The sequence below is a fragment of the Homo sapiens genome, chromosome 5 (assembly GCF_000001405.40).
Source record: "Homo sapiens chromosome 5, GRCh38.p14 Primary Assembly".
NCBI lineage: Eukaryota > Metazoa > Chordata > Mammalia > Primates > Hominidae > Homo > Homo sapiens.
Genome location: NC_000005.10, coordinates 125158207 through 125184891, shown reverse-complemented (window position 1 = coordinate 125184891; position 26685 = coordinate 125158207). Strand labels below are relative to the sequence as shown.

The window sequence follows — 26685 nt, the reverse complement described above, 5'->3', positions numbered from 1 at the left end:
GTGATGCAAGCACTCCCTTGGCTGCTCCAGTTGGTGTCCCAGTATGCCGCGTGCCCGCCTAGTCCACTGTCATTGGGCCTAATTCAGCCCTAGGACTCACCTAAGAGTTGCAGTCCTTATGGCCTAGACTGCCTTTCAAGCTTACTTAGAGACACAGGGTGATCTCTGTACCATGCAGGGGCTGCCAGGGTGGGAGAGGGATCGCATCAGTGATTCAGGACTGTTTTTTATCTCCTCATTGCCCCTTTCAATGATATGAAGTTAAAACCAGGTACTAGGAGTACTGATTTTTCATTCTTAAAAAATCACCACCACCCCAGGCCACGAGGAGTACTGCCAGATTGCAGTACTTATAAAAGGTGTTTCTTCTGTGTAGCTAGTTGTTAACTTGGTGTCCTCGCAGGTGGGGGGTGGAAGGCAGACATCCAGGGGACTTCCTATTCTGCCATCTTGCTCTACCTTCTCACATGGCACATGAATAAGAAAGATTTTGTTTGAGGCCAGGAAAATGAGAAGCTTCAGGAATTTCAAGAGTTAGGAGAGTTTTAATAAAAGTTGCTATGAGCAATGCACCACTACTACCACCATTTTTTTTAAGTTTGTTCAAGATATATAATAAAGAATAAGGCTCTTTACTGGGCTGTGTTTATCTAAATGTAACACTAAGACAGTCTTGGACTCTATAGAGTTTTAGATTGGTAGGCTTTTGTTGAGAACTGTGAAGGACCTGAGATTTTACCCTGCTTGAAAGCTAACAAGTTAACCTGGCAAAAGACATGAGACTCCTGGGGCAGAAACAAAGGACTTCATTACTCACAGCACAGCAAACCACATGAGCTTCTTGTTCATAGCCATTCCCCTTGCACTCCAAGGCCCATGAGGTGACACATTGCTTCAGGGGGATAAGAATACAGTTGGTTTGCATCCCGGCTGAGGGACATTAAGTGTAGGGAACTCGTATATTTTTTATAATGTGCTACAAGCAAACCTGCCTGGGCCTTTCCCCCAAGGGAAACATTATATTATACTGGACAATAAGCAAACCAGTCGTCAGCTCAAGAGAGATGCCATCTCTATCTTCCATGGCTGTTTGTTATGCAGGTGTCCCTGAAAAGATAGTGCCTCTGCTGGCAAGGTATGCCGAAGCATGAGACACCTATGGAGAATTGTCTCCTGAAAGCCTTATACTAACAGAGGCTACTGACAGTATAAGTCGTGCTCTCTTCCACCCACTGGGGCAATTCCAGGGTGGCAGCCAGTAAACATAATGTGTCCCTACAAGTTCCACTGTGCTCTTGAGGCATGCATATCTAGGCATCTGGGGGCATCTCCTTGGCTGTAGGGACACGGGCAATTGTTAGGGATACCATTCATTTGACCTCAAGTCATACAAAAGCAGTATCAGTTATATAACTGAGTCATTATGTGAATTGCCTTCATACTGAGGAAAATGAATATATATCTCAGCAGTTCTCCTTTTTCTGCCTTTTTCTCTATTTGTTCCCATTCCTGGAATTTCTCAACAAGGCAATAATCTCCCATATCCTCAGGCTCTTGAAGAGAGAAGGGTTTATACTATTATAAATAGCTCAAAATGTTCACTAGTTCTATTAATCGAACGCTTTGGGTTACAGGGTTGAAGAATAACAACTTGGAGTTTCTGATTCCCTTCCTAAATGATGTATAAGTTGAAACTGAATCCAGATTCTCTTAAGAAAACAGAAAGAGTCATAAACAACTTTTCTATTTGAATTCCCATGTCATGATGGCTTCAGTGAAACGACATGGGCCTGGAGTCAGAGAGACTCAAATGCAACTCTATCACTATTAGTATGACCGTTAGTAAATTAAGAGACTTAACCTAGGTCTCAATTTACTCATCTGTAACATAGGGATAAAAATACCTACATCCTAGTGTTGTTATCAGGATTAAAGGAGAAAATATTTGTAATGCATTTTGCATAGTACCTGGCTTTATGAATAATAGTTGTTATTATCAGCTTATCCTGTCACGCCAAGGAAGCCATAAAATACAATGTTGTGAGTGCAGGATTGCCCTTAACTTACTGCCTGTGTGAGATCCATTGCTATAGCTATCAATAAATCAGAAGTCAATGACTACTCTCCACTCTCGCCAACATGGAAATGTGTGGTGCTGTGAGATACTCAATTTGACTTCACTTCTTTGGTGGTGGATGCCACCTTTGTTCATTTGAATACTGGAGTTCAAAGGAGGATGCCAATAGGCATTGATGAGCTGCCAGGAAACCAGGTCTCTACAGAGCTTTATCACCTATGAATATCTTGGATACATCCTAAGCCAGGTGTCTTTTTAAAAAAAATATTTAAAAATCACTGTAGATTTTTAAAATTTCATATAATGTAGATTATAACTGCATTCTAAATTAAGGCTCTCCTAAGCACTTGAGTTCTGAAAAATTGCAACTTAGGCTAGAACTTGAATTGTTAGTGCTCAAGTCTGTAATGTCACCATGTCCTTCACCCCTAATCTTTTGCATCAACAAAGCAGTTAAAACAATAAACCCTTAGAAGACAAAGAAACTGAGCTCAGAAAAGATATTGAGTTGTCCAACTCCCTTTCCATTCAGTAAATTATCTCATCTCTGTAGCTGAGTCATTAACTCACAAGGAAGATAGTTACTGAGATTCCACCATGAGCAAATTATTATCCTGGCCCCTGGTGATAGGAAAGTATTAAGGCCTGATGACCACAGTCAGGAAGCTTCATTCTCTAAAGAAGCCACAAGGCAGCTTTTACATTGCACCTGCCAGAGTCAATGCACAGTGCTGGGAGATCCTGAATACTGTGTAAGGTAGGATTCCTTTGCTTTCAAGTAACAGAAAAAAAAAACCAACTTACTTTCTTTAAAATTTAGAATACTAAAGTAAAACACATCATAACCGGTGCTTCAATCATGGCATCAAGAAAACAGATTCCTTAGGAGTAGTTAATGCAGATCAAGTGCTTTTAACAGTACCCGGCAGCTAAGCATGATGGTTCACACCTGTAATCTCCACACTTCAGGAGGCTGAGGTAGGAGGATTGCATGAGCCCAGGAGTTAAAGACCAGCCTGGGCAACACAGTGAGCTCCCATCTCTACAAAAAGATTTAAAACGTAGCCAGATGGGATACCACATGACTGTAGTCCCAGCTACTTAAGAGGCTGAGGCAGGAGGATCTCTTGAGCCCAGAAGTTCGAGGCTGCAGTGAGATTTGATGGCACTACTGCTCTCCAGCCTGGGTGACAGAGTGAGACCCCCAACTGAAAAAAAAAAAAAGCACCTGGCACCTAGTAAACACTATTTAAATTTTATGTATCACTATTAGCTAGCACATGGCCCTCCACTCCAGACTCTTAAAGGGCCATAGTGGAATTATATATAAAGTAAATGAGAGCAGAGTAAATTTTACCCAGAGAGTGAAGGGCAGGTTTCACAGAGAAACTTACATTTAACCTCATTCTTGAGCCCAGGAAGATTGCCAAATAGGCAAATTAAGTTTCTTAAGGCAGAAGATGCAACATGTGCAGGGTGAGCAAGCTTGAAGGGCAGAGTGACTGGTTAAATAAATTCTGATTCATCTGTACAGGGGTTAATAAGCAACCGTTTAAAAGAATGATATAGAAATGATGTATTAGATGAAATCTTTATGAATGAAAAATTAGAGTGACACAATAGTATGCATAGGAGGTTCTCATTCAATTTTAAGTACCTCTGCATTATTTATCTATAATAAGCACATTATTAACTATTAAAAGATAGATAAGAAAGTATGTTATGAAATCAGAAAATATCAAGCTATTTACTTTAATCACAGGGATAGAGGATCATTAGATGGAATTATAACTGGGAATGAGATTTTATGCTATACAGTCCTAAAGACTTGGAATCTCATGCTCTGGGCTAGATCAGAATGACCAACTACAGCAGTGGGCTGATCCTGGCCCACCACCTGTTTTTGTAATTAAGCTTTATTAGAACACAGTCACTCACATTCATTTACATATGACTATAGCTGCTTTTGCACTACAGTGGCAGAATTAAAGACTTGTGACTGAGACTGCATGGCCCACAAAACCTAACATATTTACTATTTAAACCTTTACAGAAAAAGTTTGTTGACTCCTGCTCTAGACAATAAAAAGACTTCAAAGAAGGGAGTGGCATCATCAAATCTGTTTATAAGATAATATCAACAGAGCCTGGGAAACAGATATAAAAATGTTAATTATGGTAATTCAGACAGACTCTCTGCTATGCCTTATAGAAATTTCTCAATAATTCTCACAGTGCCCTATAAGTAAATATAAATATGATTATGTCCTTTTTATAAAAGAGAAAAATGAAGAAATGAACACATAGCTATTAAATGGTGTCTTCCCTAGTAGAATATATATGCTCCAGGAGGAAGGAAATTCGTCTTGTTCAGTGTGCTATCTCCAGCACCAAGGACAGTGTCTGACACACAATAAGGCACTCATCTAAGTAGACATTTATGAAACAAATGCAAGAAGCATCACTCCAATAAATAAATGAATCAATGGGCACACCAATAAATAAATGAATGAATACGGGGCAGGACTGAGGCAGCCTCTCAAAATTACACTGCAGAACCAGCTATCCCAGCTCCATCATCCTGCTGCTTCAGGCAGCAACTAAAGATCCTCCATGTCACCTTGGGAGCTAGAAACCAGACAAACCAAACCAGAACCTACAGGTTCTCTCTTAGCTCAAGCCTATCTCACTCCTCTGTATTCTACCTGAAGAGAGCTATCACTTCATTTGTCTGCCAATTTGTTTTTGCTGTACAGCACGCCCTATTTTCTTTCAATTTCTCACATCTGGTTAATTTCTGCTCTTTAACCCCAAGCAGTTTTGGGGGTGCTTCCCATTGCTAAAGGGATTCCACTCCCCTCAGCAGGTTACCTCTCCATCATCCATCTGATAGACAGGCTTCACTGTTGTCAAACACCACTGTTGTACAGTTTCCATCTAGTTCTTGGGCTGATCTTTCAGCTGTACCAGCCCTTGAAAGCTGACAGGATGAATTGCTTGCTTTCCAGGCCTTAATGTTTATCTCCCTTCAGATCTCACCATCTGCTGTGATTTGGCAGCTCAGGTAAATGCACTTTTTCTGCTTCTTTCAGTTGCTCAGCCTCCTGCAGGCATTGCCATGTCTGTCCTCCCTCTTTTCAGACATCATCTCCTTGGAAGTGATAGGGTTTATGTTGAAATTGATGGATGTGCCTGGTGCTTTTTTCCTTCCATGCTGTCTGTCATTCTTTACATTGCCTAGTTTCAATCTGGCCACTGAGGCCTGTGCATAAAGAAGAAAAAATCTGTAAAATCAGAATCAGCTGTATCATTTTTTTCATTCCATCTATTATCTATTGTTTCACAATAGTATTTCCCCAAGTTTCTTTTTTTTTTTTCTTTTTTGAGATGGAGTTTCATTCTTGTAGCCCAGGTTGGAGTGCAATGGTGTGATCTTGGCTTACTGTAACGTCCGCATCCCGGGTTCAAGTGATTCTCCTGCCTCAGCCTCCCAAGTAGCTGGGATTACAGGTGCCTGCCACCACACCTGGCTATTTTTTGTATTTTTAGTAGAGACGGGGTTTCACCATGTTGGTCAGGCTGGTCTCGAACTCCTGACCTCAGGTGACCCACTGCCAAAGGTGGCAAAATGGTGGCGGCCAGACCTCTTTGGCTTATTCTGAAAATGACACGAACCTGAAAATTTTATTAAAGAAATGGAAACCTGGCTTCCTTTCTCAATTTGGAAGAAGTGGTATGCTGGGGCTTGTATTTCCCTTTCTCTTTGGCAAAAACAAGCAAGAATGGATTATCAGCTACAGTCCTTTGATGCCATTCATACATTCTAGTTTTCCCCAGTGTATTAGGCCATTCTTGCTTTGCTATAAAGTAATACCTGGGGCTGGGTAATTTATAAAGAAAAGATGTTTAATTGACTCACAGTTCTGCAAGCTGTACAGGAAGTAGGGTGCTGGCATCTGCTTCTGGTGAGGCCTCAGGAAGCTTACAGTCATGGTGGAAGGCAAAGGGGAAGGCAGCACATCATATGATGAGAGAGGAAGCAAAGAGAACAAAGCAGGAGGTCCCAGACTCTTTTAAATAACCGGATCTTACACAAACTGAACTCATTTATCACCAAGAGGATGGTGCAAAACCATTCCTGAGAGATACACCTCCATGATCTAATTATCTCCCACCAGGCCCCACCTCCAACATTGGAAATCACATTTCAACATGAGATTTCAAAGGGACAAACTTCCAAACTATATTGCCTGGTCTCACCATTCCTCCAATTCTCCTTTCCATCTTACCAGCATAAAACATGTACAGTTGCCCTTATGCTTGGCCTTTATAGCATCTGTACTTTTTTGAACTCTAGTGTAAAGCCAACTTTCCAAAATCCTTTCAGAGCAGGGGTCAGCAAACATTTTCTGTAAAGCCTTTGCCGTCCATATGGTCTCTTATTACTCAATTCTACCATTGTAGAGCAAATACAACCATAGATGACAAGACTAAACAAATGAGTGTGGCAGTTTTCCAATAAAACTTTATTGATAAAAACAGGCGATAAAACATATTTGGCCCATGGGCCACAGTTTTCTGACCCTTATTTTAGAACATTACCTCTATTTTGAAACATCCATCATCTATCCAGTTTATAGTGTCTATTCATATAAGGAGTAGTCAAAGTATACTAAATTATTACACCAACTGGTAAAATCTACTTCCATACTGATTAGCTGAGTTCATATATATATAAATGTGGATATCGGTATGTAATTTTAGCAGCTATAATTAAATAATTTTAAAGAAGACTGAATTTGTTTTCTAGATTTTAAACTCATTTATGACCTTTATGAACTTTAATAAAATATTATATATCCACTGCTAGGTATTTTAAATGTTGTTTACACAAGTGAATAATATGCCCTAGTGAGACCAGTGCCTGAGTTATTCTCTGGTTCTAACAGAGTTCCTTTGGGAGTTATCTGCTTCAAGCCACTATGGATCTAAAGCATACTATAACACAAGACAGAGTCACTTAGTACCCTCCCAGGAACCATGTCCTCTGACACTGTCATGGCACCAGGGAAAAATCTGTCTCATATTTGTTTAGCATTCTACATTAATTTCAACAATCAATACAGTAAAAACATAGCTAAGCATTCTGGAGATATTTCTTGATAAACTACTATGTGCCAGGTACTATATATGCAAATGACACTAGGACAGGTTAAGCAGGTGGTCCAAGTTACAGAGCTTAAGTGTCTCTGCCTCTAAAGCACAGCTGAATCATTACGCAATGGCTTCTCTTCATACGGTATTTTCTACGTACTTATTCCCTCTCCTACACCAAAAGAAGAAATATTTAACTTAGTGCTTGGTGCAAGGTTGATGATCAATAAATGCTTCTTGAATAAGAAAAAGTCTTCTCTAACCAAAATTTCGCCCTCTTCTCAGGAATCCTGTCTTAGTTAAAAGCATCACCATTCACTCAATTTATCCAAGCTGAAAACTGCAGAACCATCTATTATTTATTTTCTTCACTCTTAAGCCCTTCATCCAATCGGTCACTGTGATGCTTAATTTTACATGTCAGTTGGGATGGGCCACAGGCCCTAGATATTTGGTCAAGTACTATTCTGGATGTTTCTATGAGGGTGTTTTTTGGATGAGATTGACATTTAAATTGGTGGGCTTTTAGTAAAGCAGATTACTTTCTCTAATATGGGTGGGCCTCATTTAATCAGTTAAAAGCCTTAATAGAACAACAGACTGACCTCCCCAGGGGAAAGTAGAAATTCTGCCAGCAGACAGAGTTCAGGTTTGAACTGCAACATCAACTCTTCCCTGGGTCTCCAGTTTGTTAGCCTACCCTGCTAATTTTGGACTTTCCAGCCTCCATAATCAAGTAAACCAATTCAGATGCACGTGTGCACACGCACACACACACACACACGCACACACTCACCCACACACACACATTCTATTTGTTCTGTGTCTCTGGAGAACCCTGACTAACATGGTCATTAAGTTTTATAAATTCTTTCTCTGACCATCCTCAATTCCCTGCATTGGCTCAAGTTCCAGTCTCTTGCAGTAGCCTTATAATTAGTCTTTCTGCTCCTAGCTTCTCTAATTCTCAAACTGGAATTAGGTCAGTGGCTCCCAAATGCCTGCAGAATCAAATTCAGACTCCTTGGCATGACACGCAAGGCCGCTCACAATTTGGAACCAGCTTTCCTACCCAGTTCCATCTCCCACCCTCAGTCCATTCCAGTCTGTCCCACTCTTTCACACCTCTGGGTCTTGCTGTCTGTGTTGTGAAACGTTCTTCTGAAAATCTGAGCAAGAGTTCCAGTTATTACGTACACAATCAAATGGAAGATTTTTGGCCCCGACTCCTTACTTGGCACTTTGTTGCCCAATCAGTGACTTTGGATCAGTGACTTTTGTGAGTTAAAAGCAAGAAAAGAGTTCAGCCTTCCCTAAGAATTCTTTCCTTATCTCTGTGGATCATATAAATCCATATGTGCCCTGTAAACTGTGTTGACACAATGAAAGAAAAACCAGTGGAAGGTGAAACAATAAATCAGCTACAGTCAACACATTGCCAAGCCACTGTTCTGACTGCTTTTTCGTTCACCTGATGCTTTTCACTTAACTGACACAATATCCCAGTTATGTTTTCATCGGGTAGCCACACCTTTAGCAAATAAATGATGTTAGACAGGGGCCCATAAAACTTCCAACATAATTTTAAAGTCTTTTGTTTCATGTTGTATTGAATTTCATCAGACTGATTTCTGACTACCTGTCATGTATGTTTCCTTTGTTCATTAGAATGTAAGATTCGAATTGCTTTGAAATTCCCTTTGGTGAATTGTTATGCGATGTGAAATGTTATCAAAAGGTCACTGAAATACATGTACCAGCAGCTTTCAAAATTAACAGACAGCATGGCCAATTCTACATCTGGAAAACGGCCCAGTCAGGAATGCAGATATAATACAGCCAATATTCATTCATTCAGCAAAGGAAATTTACTTCCTCTCTACTGTGCTAAGTCTGGGAATATTAAAGTGAATATAATAAACTCTCTATCCTTAAGGGGTTCAAAGGAAGAAGACAGCCAGATTAACAAACCATAACTTTGTGTACTTTAAATAATGCTTAAGAAAAATAAGTTCTATGTACACTTAGGGACTGGTCAAGACAGGATCCACCAAAAAAAAAAAAAAAAAAAAAAAAAAAACCATTTGTGTGTGTGTGTGTGTGTGTGTGTGAGTGTGACGGTGTCTCACTCTGTCATCCAAGGTGGAGTACAGTGGAGAGATCTCAGCTCACTGCAACCTCTGCCTCCCAGGCTCCCAGGCTCAAGTGATCATCCCACCTCAGGCTCCTGAGTAGCTGGGACAACCAGTACATGCCACCACACCTGGCTAATTTTTTTTTGTACTTCTGGCACAAAAGTACAAAAGAAGGAGTTTCCCCACATTGCCCAGGCTGGTCTCAAACTCTTGAGCTCAAAAGATTCACCAGCCTTGGCCTCCCAAAGTGCTGGGATTACAGGCATGTGCCACCACACCCAGCTCTGATTTTTGAGCTGAATTAAATAGTGTCACCTGATAGAAAATCTGGCTTGCTTTAGAGAACTGATTCATAAAATGTGGTCCCCCGACCAATATCTTCAGCACTGCATGGAAACTTGTTAGAAATGCAGAGTCAGGCCCCAATTCAGGCCTCTTGAATCTGATGTTCTGGGGATGTGTTTTAGTAGCTCTCTTCATCATTCTGATGCACCCTTAACTTTGAGAGTCACCAATTTAGAGAGAGATGCACAGCCCAACACAGCTGGTATCTAAGGAGTGGGCTTTTGGGGACAAGTAGTTGAAGAGGGCCACAGAAGATGAGGACTATAGAGTTACAAAGTGTAAAGAAGCCTAAATACCTTGCTTAAAAGTTAAGACTATCCTCTAGGTCATGGGAATACATTAAAGTGTGGTAACTAGGAAACTATAATAATTAGATATGTGATTTTGGAAAAATAATTGGAGCAGCAATTTAAGACATAAATTCAAGATATGTAAGCAGTGAGGGACATAGGAGACTGTTATAAAAGTCCAAGCCAATGGTGTTTGGGGCCTGAGTTAAGTAGCCAGTGGCAATGAGAATGAGGAAGGAATGATGGATTTGAGAGGCTTTTAGAATGTAGAATTGCCAGTACTATTTTTGACTGAATAGATATAGATCTTAGAGGGCAGGAAAAGAATGATCTCCTTAATTGTCTGGTGCATTCTTTCTCAAACTGAATGTCCAAACCATTTTTAAATGGAGTGAAGAAGAGATGAAACTTTGCAAGTTGGTAATTGAAGTGAGAGATGGAAGGAAACTTGAGTGAGAAGTAAGCTTAGGTTTAAATAGCTTGAGGTATCTGTTAAAATATCCACAGCAGAAATAAAATAAAATACATTGCTGTGTCTGTTGGGTGTTGTTTTTTTAAATCTTGCTTTCTTGCAATTTCCTATTAGACTTCAAGAGTACCCCAATAAAAAAGTGAGTACATATTCTGTATAAATGTCAATTCACAATAAAATTCCAGATGAGCATTTGGCTGTTTGTATTACCAATTTACCTGATGGATCTCTTTGGTAACTACTACAGTAAATCACAACTCTGCTCTCCAAACTTTATATCATAATTTTGCTCAGCTGGGAATTGTGTGGACAGGAAGATTACTGATATAATTACTTGGAACTCCTTTAAATATTTTTGTGGGGCCTTTGATTCTGAAGACTTTTAAAAATACTTCTGGATAGATTACTAAAATGTTCAATTACAGAAAAAATGGGGAGAACATTCCTTAGCATCTGTCTTGTTCATCTTCCTTTGAATCAGGAAGTCAATTTCTTTTGTCCACATATGTATTCTCTGGATGCACACAATTCAGCAAATTGGACACAGAACAGGGAGGCAATCATTTCGGCCACTTTGAAGGTCTTTCTGGAAGCCCATGTTGCCAGACTGACTGAGGTACCTACATATCTGTCTTGTGCAAGGATCTGAACTTTTCCTCTTCCCTATCCACCTCCAACATTGACCTACTGGAAGAGGGTGGTAAAACCGAAGTCCCCTGAAATCCGAGTCCCTGCTCTCACAGTCAACAGAAAACAAAGGGACTCCAAAGACTCACTGTCCCCTCAAAGCAGCACTGAACCAGGGGTAGTTGACATGTCGAATTTAGTGACTACCCCATGGCCACATAGAAAAGAGGAGCTTATGTGTTCTCTAATTTGAGCTACAATGCTAGAGTGCTGATTAAGATTACTGAGTGGAATTAGCGTTAACTCTGTTAGCTATTATCTGCATGACCTTGGGCAAGTTACTTAGCCTTGCTTTTAATGAAAAAAAAAAAATGTACCCACAAAACTGTGGGAATGACAGGAGCTAAAGCAGATAAACCATTTTGTATTGCCTTCATATAGTCATTATTATTCTTAGGGTAGTCATTGTTCTGGTCTTCTTATTTTTGATACTGAAGGCTCCAAAATCATGGCCTTACATGCTAGATGGGAAACTGCAATCTGAATTTAGAATGTATTATAAAGAGTTATTTCTTAAAAGAGACATATAGAATTATATCAACCTGTATATTTTATCATTATCCTAGTTTATTAGCTCTACCGTAATATTCCTGATTCACTTGAATATTGGCATTCAACATCATGACCTGCAGTGTTTGTGTTTGCTATTATTTACCTCATTTTAATGGTGGATTTTTAGACTATCTATACAATAGGATGGAAAAATTACAAGCAGACAATTTTAAATGCTTAAAATCCACTAAAATCACATACATTGGGCATTCACTAGTGCTTGGCATTAATTTTTTCTAACATTTGTGTAGAGTAGAGTTTTTCAGTGTTCTCTTACCAAATATCTCACATTTGACTCTCATAACACTCTGGCAGGAAAAACATACTCCAAAACTTTCTTTTCCTTTTACTACAGATTGAAAAATCCGCTATGTATTACTCTTATATTTCAATGACTTGGGTTCTGCTAATGACTACAAATGGTCTCAATTATTTAGAGTTTCGATCCATATTACAAAAGTTGTCCAAATCATTGTTATTATCAATGGATAAGTCAGCCTAATAGTCTTTCAGAATAGGAATGTTTGAAGGCGGTCTGTGTCTCAAATTTGAATATGAAGCTTTTGTTAATTATTGTTCTCCCACTGTGTTCTAAAACGTCCTCCCTATCACTTCCTAGAAGATAATGATACAGTTTCCTTGAGCCGGACCTACTAAACATTTGCTCAGAATTTTTGTGGGGTCAGGATGTAATAATTCATATTTTAAAAAATATTTTCAAATTATTCTGCTATAGAGATAATTGCATTGATACAGAACATAACCAGCAGTTCTCTCCATTCTGCTTCAAGTTAAAGTTGGTTCCTTGGTCTTCAGCTATAGGCAACCTATTTTTGGCTCTTCTTTCTTGAAATTAACCTACTTCTCCTTAAGGAGAAACCCTTTTAATATGGCTGTTAGAAAAGAGCCCTCAAGCATATAACCTTATGGAATACGATGCTCCAAATTGCCACTTTCCATTTCCTAAATATAAATATCATTAAATCAAAAGCTTTAAAGCTGTATCCTAAACCATCTTCCTTTACGATAATAACTATTCTCTTTTCTTGTCTTATGTTTTTTCTTGAATTTTAGACCTCAGATATTATTTTTACAGGGGAAATTCTTAAATGGAAGTTTGTTACCACTTAAAGATAGATGTGTTTTTCTGCTCTCATATGATCCATTTAAACTTACCATCAAAGTGAACTATGGACTCATTTTGAGAAGAAAATATATCCCATAGACCATAATTCCCCAAGACCTTTATTTATTTGATTTCTGCTCCCTGGGATCATGGCCTCATGACATGAAATTCTCAGTTCTGTGAGCCTCCCAGGGAATAGCATTCATAAAAATCATTTCACAGCAGAACTTCAATGCCACCCCAACAATAAAATATTCCAGCACATTCTCACACTGAAGGCAGCCACGGGCAGCCACTGCTCCATTCTTTTTACAGTGAAAAGACACCTTTTGGTAAAGACATCAAAGCCATCTTTACAACAGACCACACAGAAACCTCCTTTTAATAGAGGTGTCCTTGGATGTAAAACTCCAATATAAGATAATTAGAACTTTACTAATTCTAGCTACTAGAGATTTAAGGTTACTATCGACACACAAATCCTCACAATTCTTTTTTTTTTAAAAATAAAGAAGTACTTTTGAATATAAAACTGGAAGGAATTCACATCCATCAAATGCAAGTGAATCTTCAGAGCACCTGGATTCTTCACTCTGTCTCTCAAAGCAAACCATAAAATTATCCCTTTTGTCTCTGGAAGGGAGGAAAACTCCTCCACTTCACATCTTCTCTGCTGAGTTTCTTTCTACTATGGATTTCTGTACCTCACATCCCTCCAATTCCTCCCTCTCCCAGGATCCTAACTCTCATTCCCCTTAGCTTTGAATGTGATATCTTTAAATCGTTCATTAGATGCCATCAAGTTCCACTTTCATTGTGACAGCAAGGAAAAGCTCTTCTGACCTAGGAAGGAGCCTCTACAAGATAATCAGACTTTTGCAAATAGATCTCCTGTCTAAGTACTTCTGTGCTTTACAACGTAAATCACAAACAAACAACACCAGAGTTCTTTTCTCTAACCTCACAAAGTTGAGTGCCCTCTGAGTTTGTTTATTTGAGAGGCAGAAGGCAGTATATTTAATAACATTTTTGCCCTAACGTTTGCACACATAGCCTGAATTTACTGGATAATTTCCAGCAAATTAGTAAATTATTCAACTTGTTATTTATTCTGTCTTTATCTAGTGATAGTCACATATAGAAAAAAAAATGTATTGAACATTTTGCTGTATTTGAAGGGATTGCTAGGAAAGCCAATCTTATAAATTAAGGTCAATGAGGGCTTTATCACATCTATACCTTTGGGCTGTATTAAGTAGCTATAGTATAGTGAAAAGACAGACATACGGTACATTATAGTCCCTGTTCTTACACTAACTGTTTGATAAATTTTGACACACAGCAAAGCCTGTCTAGGCAGTGGTTTCCTTATCTGCAAAATGAACACGTTTGAGTAATAGTCTCTGTGGAATTTATAGATCCAGCATTCTGATTAGAAACTTAAAAAATAATTTGTCATTATGATTTCTCTTAATACCTTCTTTTTACTCTAAAGCTGATCAATTTTTTCTTCCTCTCTGACCATTCAAGTATGACCCAAATCTTCCCATACTAATAAATCAAATCTAAACTCAATTCCAAAGGTTTGATTTCATCCATTTCTGCATAGAATCTGGCAATTGATTTTTTATGATCTTTTAGCTCTCCAAGTATATTTGCAAAAGAATGGGTAAATTGGATGTACATCCATTCAATCATTTAAGAACACTTATTGACTCCTAGTATCTTTTATTTCTATTTTCTTCCCTGAAAAATTTCAAAGTAAATTGTGGCCATTATGATGCTTCCCTTCAGAATATTTTGGCAGGCATTGCTTAAGAAGGACATCTTCCAATATAATCATAACACTATGATCATATAGAAAAGAAGCAATAATTCAAAAATATCTTCTAATATACAGAACACATTTGAATTTCTCCTGCTAGTTCAAAAATGACTTTTATAGGTGTTTTGTTTTTTAATCAAGGTTCACAAATTACATTTGGTTGTTATGTCTTGTCATTTTCTTTTACTCTAGGACAACAGTTAGTAAGTAAACTGTGGCTCACAGACCAATCCTGCATGGTCTGTTCTTGTATCTCAAGCTAAGAAGGATCTTTACATTTCTTAAGAGTTGTAAAGCCAAACTACACGGACAAAAAACAAAGAAGAAGAAAAAAGAAAGAAGAATATACAACAGAGACTTCTATGTGACCCACAAAGCATGACACATTTGCTATCTGCCCTTCACAGAAAAAGTTTACTGATTTCTGATCTATAACATTGCCTTTACCTTCTCTGATTTTAGAACAGTTTTTGAAGATTCCAGGTAGTTATCATAAAGAATATATCACACACTTTGGATTAGTTTCATGTATTCCTCATAAGACTCAGGTTAAAGACTTTTGCCTGGAACATTACAGAATTAGACTGTGTTCTTTTTACTACCTTATCTCAAGGTGCACATATGTCAGGCTGTCCCATGATGGTGGTGCAAAGTTTGAAGATTTTGTTCAGCTGGTGACTGCCAGATGTCTCTGTAACAAGGTACAATTTTCTCTTTGTAGTTAATAAGTAATTGACAAATGATACTTCGAGATTGCATGACTATCTTATTCCTTAGTAATATTCATCCAATAGTATTATTATCTATTGATAATCTTTGCCTGAATCACTTATTACATTGGGGACATGTAAAATGGTGATTTTCTAATTCTATCATTTATTTTAGATTTATTTTCTGGCATTCATCTGTAGAGAAAAATCTTTTCCCTTCTCTCTCTCTCTCTTTCACTATGATTTATTGGCATTTTAATCCATTGTTGTTAATATTATTATTTAAATTCCAAATTGTACATCATTTTCCTATTGGAGGCCTTCAAGCTAGCCCTTTTATTCTTTTGACTTAGCCCCATTTGGATTTGATCACTTCCTTGATTTCTGGCACGTGGTGTCTGAGGCTTACCAGGTACATTCCCTGCCCCTGGAAGAATCCACCTTTCCCCAAAAATGCTGGTTCCCTTTAGTAGACAATGCTATTTAGCAATGAAGATCTGGGGGTTTTGTTGTTGTTGTTGTTGTTGTTTGTTTTGTTTTAAGTTTTTGAGATGGAGTCTTGCTGTGTTGCCCAGGCTGGAATGCAGTGGCACGATTTCAGCTCACTGCAACCTCTGCCTCCCAGGATCAAGCAATTCTCCTGCCTCAGCCTCCCAAGTAGCTGGGACTACAGGCACACGCTGCCACGCCCGGCTAATTTTTTGTATTTTAGTAGAGACGGGGTTTCACCATGTTGCCCAGGCTGGTCGTGAACCCCTGAGCTCGGGCCATCTGCCCGCCTCAGCCTCCCAAAGTGCTGGGATTACAGGCATGAGCCACTGCTCCTGGCCCAAGATCTGGGTTCTAAGTGTGCTCGTGGCTACTTGGGTGTAACTGACGCCAGGCATTTTAATAGACAGAACTGCATCAGGGTGGGAGGCCAGGAGGTAGGGGAATATATTCCTAAGTTTCAAGCAATCACAGAAGCAAATGGCATAAAACTTTAAAATTACTATAAAATGTTTAAATCACAAGTTTGTAAGTACTCATATCGATGCCTCTAATTCAAGTCTACCACCACAGATTCTTCTTCACATTCCCTGTTTTATATTTGTTTCTCTCTGCTTCCACAGCAGACAGTCTGGTTTCCAGCAACATTAATGTATTTACACATTGCATCAATGCAACATAAACACCATTAATAATAGCTAAACTACAAAGTAAGGTGCAAGATTTGATTGCGTGGTTCTTTCCTATGACCATATTTCGCTAAGGATTTATGTAATATTATAGGAAAAGTAACTTAAATACATCATTTTCCCTATGTGTTTACAGAATAACTTGGTATACATTAGGTCCATTTCTTAATATTTGTAATCAAAGAGTTTATGTTTTTCACCATTTTTCATAAATATTTGAATACTTCAAACTTTTATGTGATTCAAAAATCAAACCCATTTAGAAATGTTTTTTCAAGAAAAAATTCCAGTGATATCTCAGTTTCCCTATTTCCACTGGTATCTCAATTCCCCCAGTATCTATTCTTTTGGCAACACAACACTAACTTGATTATTGTAGCTTTGTAGTAAGACTGGAAGACAATTAGTGTTACTCCTCTAACTTTGTTCCTCTCCTTCATTATTGATTTGGTTATTTTGGGTCTTTTGTCTCTCCATATAAAGTTTAGAATCAGTTTGATTATTTCTAAAAAATTATTGTGATTTTGATTGTGATTGCATTGAATCTGTAGATCAAGTTGGGAAGACTGGCATCCTGACAATATTAAATCTTTCCCTCCATGAACATGGAATAGCTCTCCATTTAGTTAGTTCCTTGATATCTTTCAGAGAGTTTTATTGTTTCCTTCAAATAGAATTTGTACATATTGGGTTATACCAAAGTATGTTATTTTGGGAGGGTGTTGTAAATGGTAATGTATTTTTAATTTTGAGTTTCATTTGTTTATTGCTGGTATATAGAAAAGCAGTTGTCTCTTGTATATTAACCCCATATCCTGCAGCCTTGTTAGAATTACTTATTCATTCCAGAAGAGATTTTTGTTTTTGTTTTGGATATGGGGGTTGTTGTTGTTGTTGTATCTTTTGGATTATCTTCACAGACAAATGTTATCTGTAAACAAAGATATATTTACTTATTCCATTCCAATCCACATGTCTTTATTTCAATTTCTTGTCTTATTGCATTAGCTAGGAATTTCCAGTACGATGTTGAAAAGCAGTGGTGAGAGGGGGCCTTCTCAACTTGTTCCTGACATTAGAGGGAAAGCATTGAGTTTCTCATCATTAAGTATGTTAGCTTTAGGTGGTTTTTTGTAGGTGTTATTTAGTTGAGGAAATTCTCTCTATTCCTAATTTGGTAAGAGATTTTATCATGAAGATTATTGAACTTTGTCAAATAATTTTCTCCATCTATTGTTACGTTCATATAATCTTTCTTCTTTGACTTCTTGATGTGATTAATCTACATTAATTGATTTTTGAATGTTGAATCAGCCATGCATACTTGGAATAAATCACACTTGATTGGGGTGTATAATTCTTTTTTTTTTTTTTAACCTTGGTGGGTTCAATTTGCTAATATTTTGTTGAGAATTTTGGATCTATGTACATGAAAGATATTGGTCTGTAGGGTTATTTTCTCTTTTTTGGAAATTAAAAGTTTGTTTTTATTTTTTATTTTTATTTTGCTTTATGTTCTGGGATACATGTGCAGAACATGCAGGTTTGTTACATAGGTACACATGTGCCATGGTGGTTTGCTGCACGTAACAACCCCTCATCTAGGTTTTAAGCCCTGCATGCATTAGGTATTTGTCCTAATGCTCTTCCCCACTTCCCCCCTGACTCCCCAACAGGTCCCAGTGTGTGTTGTTCCCCTCCCTGAGTCCATGTGTTCTCATTGTTCAACTCCCAATTATGAGTGAGAACATGCAGTGTTTGGTTTTCTGTTCCTGTGTTAGTTTGCTGAGGATGATGGCTTCCAGCTTCATCCATATACCTGCAAAGGACATGAACTCTTCCTTTTTTATGGCTGTATAGTATCACAAGGTATATATGTATCACATTTTCTTTATCTATCTATCATTGATGGGCATTTTGTTTGGATCCATGTCTTTGCTATTGTAAATAGTGCTGCAATAAACATACGTGTGCATGTGTCTTTAGAATGATTTATATTCCTTTGGGTATATACCCAGTAATGGGATTGCTGGGTCAAATGGTATTTCTGGTTCTAGATCCTTGAGGAATCACCACGCTGTCTTCCACAATGGTTGAACTAATTTACATTCCCACCAACAGTGTAAAAGCATTCCTATTTCTCCACAGCCTCACCAGCATCTATTGTTTCTTAACTTTTTAATGATCGTCATTCTGATTGGCATGAGATGGTGTCTCATAGTGGTTTTGATTTGCATTTCTCTAATGACCAGTGATGATGAGCTTTTTTTCATATGTTTTTTGGCCACATAAATGTCTTCTTTTGAGAAGTGTCTGTTCATATCCTTCACCCACTTTTTGATGTTTTTTTTTTCTTGTAAATTTGTTTAAGTCCCCTGTAAATTCTGGATATTAGACCTTTGTCAGATGAGTAGATTGCAAAACTTTTCTCCCATTCTATAGGTTGCCAGTTCACTCTAATGATCTTTTCTTTTGCCGTGCAGAAGCTCTTTAGTTTAATTAGAACCCATTTGTCAATTTTGGCTTTTGTTGCAATTGCTTTTGGTGTTTTTGTCATAAGTCTTTGCCCACGCCTATGTCCTGAATGGTATTGCCTAGGTTATCTTCCAGGGTTTTTATGGTTTTGAGTTTTACATTTAAGTCTTTAATGCATCTGAGGTATTTTGGTATAAAGTGTAAGGAAGGGGTCAAGTTTCAGATTTCTGCATATGGCTAGCCAGTTTTCCCAGCACCATTTATTAAATAGGGAATCCTTTCCCCATTGCTTGTTTTTGTCAGGTTTGTTGAAGATCAGATGGTTGTAGTTGTGTGGTGGTATTTCTGAGGTGCCTGTTCTGTTACATTGGTCTATTATGTCTGTTTTGGTACCAGTACCATGCTGTTTTGGTTACTGTAGCCTTGTAACATAGTTTGAAGTCAGGTAGCGTGATACCTCCAGCTTTGTTTGTTTTGCTTAGCATTGTCTTGGCTATATGGGCTCTTTTTTGGTTCCATATGAAATTTAAAGTAATTTTTTCTAATTCTGTGAAGAATGTCAGGTAGCTTGATGGAAATAGCATTGTATCTATAAATTACTTTGGGCAGTATGGCCATTTTCATGATATTGATTCTTCCTATCCAAGAGGATGGAATGTTTTCCCATTTGTTTGTGTCCTCTCTTATTTCCTTGAGCAGTGGTTTGTAGACCTCCTTGAAGTGGTCCTTCACATCTTTTGTCAGCTGTATTCCTAGGTATTTTATTCTCTTTGTAACAATTGTGAATGGGAGTTCATTCATGATTTGGCTGTCTGCTTGTCATGTTGGTGTACAGGAATGCTTGTGATTTTTGCACACTGATTTTGTATCCTGAGACTATGCTTATCAGCTTAAGGAGTTTTGGCAGCGACACAATGGGGATAACTATATATACAATCATGTCATCTGCAAACAGAGACAATTTGACTTCTTCTATTCCTATTTGAATACCCTTACTTTATTTCTTTCTCTTGCCTGACTGCCCTGGCCAGAACTTTCAACACTATGTTGAAAAGGAGTGGTGAGAGAGGGCATCCTTGTCTTGAGCTGGTTTTCAAAGGGAATGCTTCCAGCTTTTGCCCATTCAGTATGATATTGTCTATGGGTTTGTCATAAATAGCTCTTATTATTTTGAGATACATTCCATCAATACCTAATTTATTGAGAGTTTTTAACATAAAGGGATGTTGAATTTTATCAAAGCCTTTTTCTGCATCTATTGAGATAATCATGTGGTTTTTGTCATCAGTTCTGTTATGACTGATGTTATGTGTTGGGTTATGTTTATTGATCTGTGTATGTTGAACCAGCCTTGCATCCCACAGATGAAGCCAACTTGATCATGTTGGATAACCTTTTTGATGTGCTGCTGGATTTGGTTTGCCAGTATTTTATTTTTGCATCGATGTTCATGGAGGATATTGGCATGAAGTTTTCTTTTTTTGTTGTGTCTCTAACAGGTTTTGGTATCAGAATGATGCAGGCCTCATCAAATGAGTTAGGGAGGAGTCCCTCCTTTTCAATTGTTTGGAATAGTTTCAGAAGGAATGGTACTAGCTCCTCTTTGTACCTCTGGTAGAATTCGTCTGTGAATCCATCTGGTCCTGAGCTTTTTTTGGTTGGTAGGCTATTAATTACTGCCTCAATTTCAGAACTTGTTATTTGTCATTTCAGGGATTCAACTTTTTCCTGGTTTAGTCTTGGGAGGATGTATGTGTCCAGGAATTTATCCATTTCTTCTAGATTTTCTAGTTTATTTCTGTAGGGGTGTTCATAGCATGCTGTTGTGGTAGTTTGTATTTCTGTGGGGTCAGTGGTGATATCCCCTTTATCATTTTTTATTATCTGTTTGATTCTTCTCTCTTTTCTTCTTTATTAGTCTAGCTAGCGTCTATCTATTTTGTTAATTTCTTCAAAAAGCCAGCTAGCTCCTGGATTGATCGATTTTTTCAAGGGTTTTTCATGTCTCTATCTCCTTCATTTCTGCTCTGAGTTTAGTTATTTCTTATCTTCTGGTAGTTTTTAGGTTAGTATGCTCTTGCTTCTCTGGTTCATTTAATTGTGATGTTACGGTGTCAATTTGAAATCTTTCCAGCTTTCTGATGCCGGCATTTAGTGCTATAAATTTCCCTCTTAACACTGCTTTAGCTGTGTCCTAGAGATTCTGGTACATTGTCTCTTTGTTCTCATTGTTTTCAAAGAGCATCTTGATTTCTGCCTTAATTTCTTTATTTGCCCAGGATTCGCTCAGGAGCAGGTTGTTCAATTTCCATGTAGTTGTGTGGTTTTAAGTGAGTTCCTTAATCCTGAGTTCTAATTTGATTGCACTGTGGTCTGAGAGCCTGTTTGTTACGATTTCCATTCTTCTGCATTTGCTGAGGAGTGTTTTACTTCCAACTATGTGGTTGATTTTAGAATAAGTGCCATGTGGCACTGAGAAGAATGTATATTCTGTTGATATAGGATGCAGAGTTCTGTAGATGTCTATTAGGTACACTTGATCAAGAGCTGAATTTAAGTCCTGAATATCCTTGTTAATTTTCTGTCTCATTGATCTGTCCAATATTTACAGTGGTATTAAACTTTCCCACTATTATTGTGTGGGAGTCTAAGTCTCTTAATAGATCTCTAAGAACTTGTTTTATGAATCTGGGTGCTCCTGTATTGGGTGCATATATATTTAGCATAGTTAGCTCTTCTTGTTGCATTGATTCCTTTATCATTATGTAATGCCCTTCTTTGTCCTTTTTTTTTATCTGTGTTGGCTTAAAGTCTGTTTTATCAGAGACTAGGATTACAACCCCTACTTTTTTGCTTTCCATTTGCTTGGTAAATTTTCCTCCATCCTTTTATTTTGAGCCAATGTGTGTCTTTGCATGTGAGATAGGACTCCTGAATACAGCATACCAATGGGTCTTGGCTCTTTATCCAATTTCCCAGTCTCTCAATTTGGGCATTTAGCCCATTTACATTTGAGGTTAATATTGTTATGTGTGAATTTGATGCTGTCATAATTATGCTATCTGGTTATTTTGCACACTAGTTGATACAGTTCCGTCATAGTGTCACTGGTCTTTATATTTTGGTGTGTTTTTACAGTGTCTGGTACCTGTTTTTCTTTTCCGTATTTAGTACTTCCCTCAGGAGCTCTTGCAAGGCAGGCCTGGTGGTGATGAAATCCCTCAGCATTTGCTTATATAGAAAGGACTGTATTTCTGCTTTGCTCATGAAGCCTAATTTGGCTGGATATGAAATTCTGGGTTGAAAATTGTCTCTTTAACAATGTCGAATATTGGCCCCCTCTCTCTTCTGATTTGTAGGGTTTCTGCTGAGAGATCCACTGTTAGTCTGATGGGCTTCCCTTTGTAGGTGACCTGGCCTTTCTCTCTGGCTGCCCTTAACATTTTTTTTCTTCATTTTGACCTTGGAGAATCTGATGATTATGTGTCTTGGGGTTGATCTTCTCATGGAGTATCTTAGTGGTGTTCTCTGTATTTCCTGAATTTGAATGTTGGCCCGTCCTGCTAGGTTGGGAAGTCCTCCTGGATAATATCCTGAAGTGTGTTTTCCAATTTGGTTCCATTCTCATCTCTTTCAGGTACTCCAATCAATCATAGGTTCAGTCTTTTCACATAGTACCATATTTCTTGGAGGCTTTGTTTGTTCCTTTTCATTCTTTTTTTCTCTAATCTTGTCTGCATGCCTTATTTCAGCAGGATGGTCTTCAAACTCTTATATCCTTTCTACTGCTTGATCGATTTGGCTATCAATATTTGTGTATGCTTCACAAAGTTTTTGTGCTGTGTTTTTCAGCTCCATAAGGTCATTTATGTTCCTTTCTAAACTGGTTATTCTAGTTAACAACTCCTGTAACCTTTTATCAATGTTTTTAGCTTCTTTGCATTGGGTTAGAACATGCTCCTTTAGCTCAGAGGTGTTTTTTATTACCCATCTTCTGAAGCCTACTTCTGTCAATTCATCAATCTCACTCTCCCTCCAGTTTCATGCCCTTGCTGGAGAGGAGTTGTGATCATTTGGAGGAGAAAAGGCATTCTGGCTTTTGGAATTTTCAGCGTTTTTGTGCTGTTTTTTCCTCATCTTCATGGATTTATCTACTTTTTATCTTTGAGGCTGTTGACTGTTGGATGGGGTTTTTGTGGGGCACTCTTTTTTGTTGATGTTGTTGTTGCTTTCTGTTTGTTAATTTTTTTCTTCTAACAGGCCCCTCTTCGGCAGGACTGCTGCAGTTAGCTGGAGGTCCACTCTAGACCCTGTTTGCCTGGGTATCACCAGTGGAGGCTGCAGAATAGCAAAGATTGCTGCCTGCTCCTTCCTTTGGAAGCTTCATCCCAGAGGGGCACTGGCCTGATGCCAGCCAGAGGTCTCCTGTATGAGGTGTCTATCAACACCTGTTGGGAGGTCTCTCCCAGTCAGGAGGCATGGCGATGGCAGGGACCCACTTGAGAAAGCAGTCTGTCCCTTAGTAGAGCTGGTGTGCTGAGCTGGAAGAATCGCCCTTGTCAGGATCAGCCACTCTCTTCAGAGCCAGCAGGCAGGAAAGATTAAGCCTGGCTGAAGCCGTGACCGCAGCTACCCCTCCCCCTAGGTGCTCTGTCCCAGGGAGATGAGAGTTTTGTCTGTAAGCCTCTGACTGGAGCTGCTGGGTTTCCTTCAGAAATGCCCTGCCCAGTGAGGAGGAATCTAGAGAGGCAGTCTGGCACAGCTACTTTGCTGCACTGTGCTGAGTTCCACCCAGTCCCAACCTCCCAGTCTCTTTAGCACTGTCAGGGGAAAACCACCTACTAAAGGCACAGTAATGGTGGTCGCCCCTCCCCTCACCAAACTCAGGCCGACTCCAGACTGCTGTGCTGGCAGTGGGAATTTCAAGCCAGAGCTTCTTAGCTTGCTGGGCTCCATGGGAGTGAGACATGCTAAGCGAGACCTCTTGGCTCCCTGGCTTCAGCCCCCTTTCCAAGGGAGTGGACGATTCTCCTGTCTCACTGGAGTTCCGGGTGCTACTCGAGTATGGAGAAAAAAAAAAACCCTACAGCTCAGTGCCTGCCCAACAGCCACTCAGTTTTGTACTCGAAACCCAGGGACCTGGTGGTGTAGGCTCATGAGGGAATTTCCTGAGCAACGGATTACAAAAATCCATGGAAAAAGCATAGTACCCCAGGGCGGGTAGCACAGTCCCTCACTGCTTCCCTTGGCTTGGGGAGGTGGAGGTCCCCCAGCTCTGTGCACTTCCCAGGTGAAGCAATGCCCCACCCTGCTTCTGTTCACTCTCTGTGGGTTGCACCCACTGCCTAACCAGTCGCAATGAGATGAACTGGGTACCTCAGTTGGAAATGCAGAAATCCCCCACCTTCTGCATCGGTCTTGCTGGGAGCTGCAGACCGGAGCTGTTTCTATTCACCCATCTTGGCCCTTCCACCGGGTTATTTTCTCACAGTGTCTTTGTCTAGTTTTGGTATTAATCTGGCTTCTTAGAAAGAGTTAGGATATAGTCCCTCTCCTTGTATTTTCTGGAAGACATTATAGATAATTAGGATAATTTCTTCCTTAAAGTTTTCATAGAATACACCACTAAATCCATCTGGACCTTGTGCTTTCTTTGAAAGGTTATTAATTATTGATTCAATTTCTTTAATAGGTACAGGCCTACTCAGACTGCCTAGTCTTTCTTGTGTGAGTTTTGGCAGATTGTGTCTTTCAAGAAATTTGTCCATTTCACTTAGGTTATGAAGTTTGTAGACATGGTTATTATTTATACTATTCGTTTATAATTCCTTTAATGTCCAGAGGATCTGGAGTGATGGCCCCTCTTTTATTTCTGATATTAGTAATTTGGGTCTTTCCTCTTTTTTCTTAGCCAGACTAGAGATTTATTGATTTCATTGGTCTTTTCAAAAAACCAGCTTTTGGTTTTGTTGATTTTCTCTATTGATTTTCTGTTTTTAAATTCATTGATTTCAGCCCATGGTATGCTTTTTTCCAATGATAATTAATTAATTTTAATGTTCTATCCTTTCATTAGGTTAAAAGGCTACAAATAAATTTTCCATTCTTCTCACTTAATGGATTATTTCTTATTACACATTGCCTATTGTGCACCACAAAGTTTGCAAGAGTATATAGGAACAGTCTAATAATAGTCATCTTGCTATTAGCCATTCACAAACATAGATGTAGACTAGAAAACACTGTAGTATGTTTACTGGCTTTGTCCAGCCTGGCAGTCTTTAATCCAAACACAGCCATCCTGTGAGAAGCAATGATGATGGTTTTCTTTGCTGTCTTATTCTCTTTCCTCTTCTTGCTCCATGTCTTTGTTTAGACTATTTTTCCTACAACTCTGCACTTACCCTAACCCTACGCTATTTCCAGGGTCCTGGGATGATGAACTCAGATTTCTTCAGTCTTCTCTTTTGAAAGTGTACTTGGTCTTGAGAGTGCAGCTTCTAAAAGACAGAAACATTTTTCTTGTTGTGTGTGTGTGTGTGTGTGTGTGTGTGTTTGTTTGTTTGTTTTTGAGATGGAGCTTCACTTTTATTGCTCAGGCTAGAGTGCAATGACACAATCTTGTCTCACTGCAACCTCCACCTCCCAGGTTCAAGCAGTTCTCCTTCCTTAGCCTCCCGAGTAGCTGGTATTACAGGTGCCCGCCACCACACTTGGCTGTATTTTTAGTAGAGACGGGATTTCACCATGTTGGCCAAGCTGGTCTTGAACTCCTGACCTCAGGTGATCTGACTGCCTCTGCCTCCCAAAGTTCTGGGATTACAGGTGTTAGCCACCGTGCCCGGCCAGAAATATTTTTCTTAACATTAGTAGCCAAATCTCATTTTAACAGAGGGAAGATGTACAGAACAGAAGACGAAAGGAATAGGCATACTGTCCTACCATAGTAACAGTTTTCAAATTTTTCCCTTTCATAATTTCTAGACTTAAGTAGCAAGGGTCAACAAAAAAATATATATCCCTTTCTTTCCCCCAAAGGATACCTATTCTGAAGATCCAAAATATTTCTTAGCAGTCAGAAGTCTAAAAAATGTGGTGACTGATGGGATCTTTGGCATCTAGATGAGTGTCAGTCTTTAGTCCAGAGAATCTGAAGCAAAGCTCTGTGTACTCCACATCTTTATTTTCTTAGATTCACATTGCAACTATTTTTCTGACAAGAATTAAAGAAAAAAAGGAAGGAAGGATGGAAGGAAGGAAAGAAGGAAGGAAGGGGAAGGGGAAGGAAAGGAAGGGAGGGAGGGAGGGAGGGAGGACTGGTCTAGGGTAGATGAGTGAAGAAGGCAATTACCCACAAATATTAGTTTGTTGTGTCACAAGGTAAGATGCTCAAACATCATTCACACCATCTATCAATACACCTTTATCAATGAATCCCTTGTGACCTCAAGGGCTTTTTCACCCTTAAAAAGAAAAACTTATCTTACAGTAAAAGTGCTTCTGGAAGGACTCCTGTGGCATAGTCAATACAGTCTTTGGGATATAATGAAAAAGGTATGCTTGTGAGCCTGCTGTGGGAGCACAGAGGAGGGCTATTTAGGATGAAGGTAAAATTAACAATAAGGGTTCTGATCATGTGACCAGCCGGTGGCAAAGTGA

At 38.9% G+C, this 26685-nt stretch overlaps 1 long non-coding RNA gene across 1 annotated transcript in view, besides 1 other annotated feature; it reads right to left on the bottom strand.

Annotated features, from left to right (window-relative positions):
- The window catches only part of LOC101927421 (uncharacterized), a 330904-nt gene that overhangs the window by 182843 nt on the left and 121376 nt on the right, over positions 1–26685 (bottom strand). Inside the window, exons 3-4 of the long non-coding RNA NR_109882.1 lie at positions 26070–26239; positions 15266–15354 (exon numbers count right to left, since the gene is read on the bottom strand). This is a non-coding gene — a long non-coding RNA (uncharacterized LOC101927421). The remainder of the gene's footprint in view (positions 1–15265; positions 15355–26069; positions 26240–26685) is intronic.
- Positions 6004–6221: a silencer, noted in NCBI's record as "fragment chr5:124514364-124514581 (GRCh37/hg19 assembly coordinates)". NCBI's record gives its function as "represses an EF-1alpha promoter that drives an FKBP-Casp9 reporter gene in an ReSE screen in K562 erythroleukemia cells {active_cell/tissue: K562}" and the evidence as "EXISTENCE:reporter gene assay evidence [ECO:0000049][PMID:32094911]".